Below are 7175 nucleotides of genomic sequence, written 5' to 3'. Positions count from 1 at the left end.
CTGACTACAGACCCCACAGACATTAAAGGGAAGATAAGGAGATACTACAAACAATTCTGCCTCCACAAAATCAACTTAGACGAAGTAGACCAGTCCCTTCAAAGATACAAACTGCCGAAATTCATTAAAGAATAAATGTATAACCTGAATATCCCTGTAGCAATTAAATAAACTAAACTCTTAAAGACATTTCATCAAGAAAAATTTCAGGCCATTATGGTTTCATTGGTGAGAAATAACACCCATCCAAAACACAAACTTTTCCAGAAAATGAGAGAGCAAGGGTCACTCTCCAATTCATTTTAGGAGACAAAAACATTACAAGAAAACTACAAACCAATATCCTTTATAAACAGAGATGCAAAATTCCTCAACAAAATGTAAGCAAATTAAATCCAGCATTATGTAAAAAGATAATACTAGGATTGAACAAATTATTAAATATAGAGTAGAAAATTAGAGCCAGGCTTCTCATTGTCACAGAAAGAAGGAAGGCTAGAACAAACTCTGTGACTGTAAATTGTAGTTAGAGAAATCTGTATAAACTCGTGTTTATTTTAATATGAAACTGCGCTATCACAATAAATATGCTGTGTGTATATGTGTGGGTTAGCATACATAGGTATATTTTCTAGCTCTGTTTACTGAAAGGGCTTAGAAGCAGCAACACTTGGTAGCAACGAGTAACTAAAGCCTAAATTTAACTACCATTCTCCCGTAAAAGGAACCAGGGCACCAATGCTTTTTAGAGAAATAGCGTTTTCTAGGGTTGGGACAGGGAAACTACAAAATGAGTTTGAAGAGCTTAGCAGTGCCAGTAATTAAGTGCTTAAAAAAATAAACAATGAGAGTACTTGAAAAGGATACAGGAGTCAACTTAAAGATCCCCCAGTGGCCAAGCCTTTAACAATTTGAGCAACAAATTAAATAAAATTTGTACTAGATGATACTCCCCTCCACCAATTAAATCTCCCTAAATCCTTACTAATATGAATAAGTAAGTGGGAGTGAAGGAACAAATCTTCCTTCCAGAGGAATTTCAGTTAATAAATATAGAAGTGATGAAGGAAAGAGAAAATTATCACTGGAACTCCACAGCAATAACCCTGCAGGTAAAAGCCACTGATGCCCCTGCAGTTATAGGTGAAACTTTAAGGAGAAACAGGAGATTTGCATAACCTCAAAGTATTCACCCCCAAAACACTTATCAATTACTGAGTGGTTTTAACATATGTCCACAAATTCAAAACTCCTTCTTCCTCCTAGGAGCTGGAATTATTCCACAGCCCTTGAGTGGGGCTGGACTTAGTGGCTCTAATGAACAGACTACAGAAAGGGGTAAAGGTCACATGACGGTGGAGGAACCTGGCCAACCGGCCTGAGCCAAGCGATCCAAACGAACATCACGGTAATAACTTGTGTTAACATCAGCACCCCCAACGTGACATGATAAGAAGGACAAGATGCCTCTGTGATATTCCTCCCCAGATCCATAACCCTGGGTCTAATCATGAGAATACACCAGACAGACCCAAACTGGGAACATTCTACAACATACCAAAAAGCACCCTTTAGCAGTGAACCATGGTCATGAAAGATGAGAACAGACTAAAAATTGCCACAGATTGCAAAAGAGTAAGGAGTAGAGTGACCAGCTGTCTCAGTTGACTCAGGACAAATGAGCTTCCTGGAATGCAAAACTTTTATTTTTAAAATTGAGACAAATAGAGCAAACTAGGATGAGCTGGTCACCCTGCAAATGAGACATGACAACTAAATGCAAGAGAGGATCCTGGATGGCACCAGGTGGGAAAACAGGTGAAATCCAAATAATGTCTGCAGTCTAGCTAATAGTTTTATACCAATACTAACTTCTTACTTTAAAAAGTCTGTGAGTGAGTTGAGGGCAGGAGTAGGTGGCGTGGTTGGGGGTGGGTGCATGTATGTATCTCTCCGTAAGTCTGTTTGAACTAATGTGTGGAAGCACAGGCAACTTAAGTCTCTATATCAGCAGATATCAGGCAAATGGTGGGCTTATGGGAGGTTTTTATTTTCTTCTTTTTTATAGTGCTATTTTGAAATGTTCTAAAATATATCAATTTTGTAATAAGAGATTTTAAAAGATTTACTTTATTAAACTTATTTATTTTATACTGGAAATATGACACACATAAGGCAGTAAAATATACAAGTGGATTAATGAATAATCATAAACAAATGCCTGAGAAGCCACCAAGTGGGGAAAGAAATAAGAGTATTGCCAGGATCCAGAACCCCCATGGAGATCAATTTATTGTTTTAAAGAAACTTGGGTTGAATATGACTGCTGATCATTTTGATTGTGATAAGAACTTACAGCATCTATGATTTCATTTGCATTTTCAATAAAGAATATATAAGCAAAGCTATTAAATTTAATATAGCAATTAGACTTGGTATAAAAGGGTAGAAATGTTATTTAAGAACAGGCACAGAAATATTAACATGCAAATCTCTAATTATCTGTAAATCCAGACATATGTGAAGTATTTGACTCTAAAATTCAAGCATGGAATTATTATCTGGAATGTTTCCACACTAATGATCCTCTTAACTAGTGCATTTTAAAATTTCTAAGCCTCAGTTTCACCATTTGTAATGTCAAACAATTGATATCTGCACTTTCTACTTGATTAATACAAAATAAATATGCTTTGAAACTGACTGAGGCATTAGTAATAAGAGAATATAAGGGGAAATTGATCAGAATTTAATAATATCAACATCTATAGGTCTGGATTAGTGAAGGAGAAAAAAGAGTTACTTGCCACAACAGTGATACACAAACAGAGAACCACAATCCACACATACACACAGACACACACAACTTGAGGATAGAAACTCCCAAATATTCATAAAATAAATATACTGAATATTTGCTAGATATCAAGCCACACATAGTTACTGGAGAGATAAAAATTGCTTAAACATAAAAATGATATTAATAAGTTCATAGTCTCATTAGGGTGAAATAAATTTATTTTACAATATATTAAAAGTCTTTAAGACAGAGATATTCACTCTGATCAATTTAGGAGAGGCAACTAGCTCTCCCGGTGGTGAAGATGTCAACTTAAAAATCACAAGATTTATAAATTTAGAAAGGAGAGCTTTATTTCTTATAAAGGGTTACAGCCTGCAAGGTGGCCATTCTGACAAGCTGGGAAGTGTAGTCTCAGGCAGAGACCATTAACAGGTGCTTCAAGGGAGGGGAGAGTGGAAGAGAGATTTGTGCTGAACAGGATGGCCAGGTATACACATTCAACAGGTTACAGGAAGAGCTATGAATATTCACAAAGCGGGGACACATACATGCATAATAAGCAAAAAGGCTCCTATGTTCATTTTGGAGTGGAAACGACATTTAAATGTATTGCAATTAAGTCCTATAGATCAAAAGATGAAGCAGGGCATGCAGGCACTCAGTGCTCAGCCTCTGTAAACCAGTCACAACCAGCCCATGGCCATGGTCTCTTATCAGGAGAAAGTTACTGAAATCATGTCCTTTGCAGCAACATGGATGCAGCTGGAGGCCATTATCCTAAGTGAATTAATGCAAAAACAAAAAACCAAATACTGCATGTTCTCACTTATAAGCAGGAACTAAACACTGAGTTCACATGGACACAAAGATGGGTTATCTTTCTATTTTTCTCTAATATCAGCTTTGAGTTTCTTGGATTATCTATTATTTATTTTCTGTTTCACTAAGTACTCCACCAATATTTGTTACTTTCCTTTTTCTTTCTTTAATGGGAAGTTATTCTATTTTATTTCTAACAACTCGTTAAATTCATTATTTTTTGGACTTTCTAAAACAGTCATTTAAAGATTTAAATTAACTTTTAGATACTGGTTTAGTTGCATTCTACCAATTAAAATATGTAGAATTTTATTATTATTCAGTTTTAACTATTTCAAAAATTCCAAAATGATTTCTTCTTTGACCCATGAATCTTGGATTTTTTTTAAATCTCTAACTGCATGGAAATGAATAGCTTTTAAAATATTAATTTCTAATTTCTAACAGCCTCTGTTCTTTATATTGTTATTTATTGAAGTTTATGTTGTGCCCAAGATTATGGTCAAATTTGTAAATCTTCTATATATATTACTAGTTTTTACATTCATTCTTAGTTGAGTTGGTGCGCAGGGCTCTATATTACCTCAAGCTTATTAATTTCATTATCCAAATCTTCTATATCTTGTCTGATTTTTCTATCAATTAATTTGAAAGATGTGTTAAAATCTTCCATTATGATTGTATTGCAAATTCTCCTTGAAATCATGTCAATTTTGCTTTATGAAAAAGTATTTTTGTCATTATGTGATAACTCCCTCTTCATTCCTAATAACACTTCTTCATTGCCTTAACTTCTAACAGTTTAGCGTTCTAGTCTATTTATATTATTTCAATGGTTACTCTTACAGTTTCAATAATAAAGCCTGACTAAGTATAAAATTTACTAGTATCAGCACTTAACTTCTGGATAGTAGAAGTACCTTGCAACACCTTAGCTCATCATATTCTCCTGTCTGACCTAGTATTGCTGTGTAGTTTAATCTTGTTTTATAAAGTCTTTATCACTCAACATCATCAGTGTTTATTACATATTGACCATTTTTTTAATCATCAAAGCTTTTTGCATTTCATCCCTCCCTTCTGGGTTCAAGCTGCTTCTTCCTAGATTAAATTCTTTTAGAAGACATGTTAGGGAAGATAAATAGTGTAATTATCTCAGTTTTTGCCTGAAAATGCATTTATTTTACCTGCATTGTTGAATGAAAATTTATTAGATATAAAATGTTCAATTGGTATCTAGCATCCATTTACACTTGCAAACATTTTGTATTGTCTTCTAACCTCTGCTGTTACTGTTGAACAGTCTTGTCAATCTCATAGCTGTTCAATATAGGTCATCTGTCATCTCTTGCAGCTCTTTAGTAATCTTTGGCAACACCTGATCTATTTTCCATCTCTATACCTTTACCTTTTCCGAAATGTCTTATAGTTGGAATCTTACAGCATATAACCTTTTATGAATGGTTTGTTTCACTTTGCAATATGCATTTAAGATACTGCTGTGTTGTGGCATGGATTAATAGCTTATACCTTTTGATCACTGAATAGTATTCTATAACATAAGTCTATCAGTTTGTTTATTCACTCACCTACTGAAGGGCATCTTTGTAACTTCTAATTTGGGGCAAGTATGAATAAAGCTACTATAAACATTTGCATGCAGGTTTTGTATACAAAAGATAGAGGTTTTCAAATCAGTTGCATAAATACCTAGGAGCATAATTGCTACATTATATGTTAGACTGTTTACCTTTGTAATAAACCACCAAACTGTCTTCCAATGTAGTTGTACTGTTTTGCATTCTCAGCAGCAATGAATGAAAGTTCCTATAGCTCCACATCCTCACCAGCATTTAGCACTGGTATTGTTTTCTGGTTTGCTCTTGTTTTTTAGCCATTCTAACAGGTAGTATCTCTCGTTGTTTTAATTTCCATTTACCTAATAAATAATATTGAACATCACTTCATATGCTAATTTGTAATCTGGTGAGATAGCTGATCAGATCCTTTGCCTATTTTTAAATTGGTTTGTTTGTTTCTGTATTGCTGAGTTTTAAAAATTATTTGTGTTGTATATAAAAGTTCCTCAGATATGTGACTTGCAAATATTTTCACCCTGTCGGTAGTCTGTTTGTGGTCTTTTTGTTCTTTTCATAGTGCTTTCAACAAAAGAAAGGTTACTAAAGTTAATAAAGTCCAACTTGTCCTTTTTTTTTTCTTTCAGGGATTGTACTTTTGGTGTTGTTTCCAAAAACCAATCACCAAACCAAAAGCCATTCAAAATGTATCATCTGTTGAATACAAGTTTTATAGTCTTGTGTTTTACATTTATGACCATTTTGAGTTAATTTTTGTATAAATGTGAGGTTCATTTTATTGCATGTGGATATCTAATTGTAGCAATCCCATTTATTGAAAAAACCCTCCTTTCTCCATTAAATTTACTTTACATCTTTGTAAAAAAAAATCAGTTGGCTATATTTGTGTATTCTCATTTCTGGGCTTTCTATTGAGTTCCATTGATCTCTTTTCTTCACCAATACACTGCCATCTTGATTAATTAATTCTTTCAATCCATGAATAGAGAATATCATTCCATTATTTATATCTTTTGTGATTTCTTTCCTCAATGTTTTTTAGATTTTTTCATGCAGATCCTGTATATATACTGTTAGACTTATAAACAAGTACTTCATACGTATTGGTTTTGTTGTGATTTGTCATTGTGTTAAATTTGTTATTCCAGTTATTAAGGTACATTAATTTTGTAGATCAACCTTGTTCTTGTGACCTTGCTAAACTTGGTTATTAGTTCCAGGAAATTTTTATTAAGTTATTTCCAAAATGGAAATGCTTGTCATCTTAAAATAAAAATAATTTGTTTCCAATTTGCATATCTTGTAGTTCTTTCTATTCAATATGACGTTAGTAGTAATTTTATTTTTAATTTTTGTTTTTATTTCTTCTGAAAAAAAAAACAGGATGCATGTGCAGAACATGAAGGTTTGTTACATAGGTATACGTGTGCCATGGTGGTTTGCTGCACCTGTTGACTCGTCTTCTAAGTTCCCTCCCCTGGCCTCCCAACCCCCAACAGGCCCCGGTGTGTGTTGTTCCCCTCTCTGTGTCCATGTGGTCTCATTGTTCAACTTATGAGTGAGAACATGTGGTGTTTGGTTTTCTGTTCTCGTGTTAGTTTGCTGAGGATGATGGCTTTCAGCTTCATCCACGTCCCTGTGAAGGACATGATCTCATGAATTTTTATGGCTGAATAGTATTCCGTGGTATATACATATCACATTTTCTTTATCCAGTCTATCATTTGGATTGGTTCCATATCTTTGTTATTGTAAATAGTGCTGCAATAAACATACATGTTCATGTATCTTTATAATAGAATGATTTATATTCCTTTGGATATATACCCAGTAATGGAATGGCTGGGTCAAATGGTATTTGTGGTTCTAGATCATTGAGCAATCACCATACTGTCTTCCACAATAGTTGAACTAATTTACATTCTCACCAACAGTGTAAAAGTGTTCCTATTTCT

The 7175-nt window shown here is 34.0% G+C and overlaps 1 long non-coding RNA gene across 1 annotated transcript in view; it reads left to right on the top strand.

Moving 5' to 3' along the window:
* Positions 1–1662: 1662 nt before the first annotated feature.
* The window catches only part of LOC105375264 (uncharacterized), a 32395-nt gene continuing 26882 nt past the window's right edge, over positions 1663–7175 (top strand). Inside the window, exon 1 of the long non-coding RNA XR_001745204.2 lies at positions 1663–1806. This is a non-coding gene — a long non-coding RNA (uncharacterized LOC105375264). The remainder of the gene's footprint in view (positions 1807–7175) is intronic.

Source organism: Homo sapiens, chromosome 7 (assembly GCF_000001405.40).
Source record: "Homo sapiens chromosome 7, GRCh38.p14 Primary Assembly".
Lineage (NCBI taxonomy): Eukaryota > Metazoa > Chordata > Mammalia > Primates > Hominidae > Homo > Homo sapiens.
Note: the sequence above shows the minus strand (reverse complement) of the source record. Positions and strands in the feature narration are given on the sequence as shown.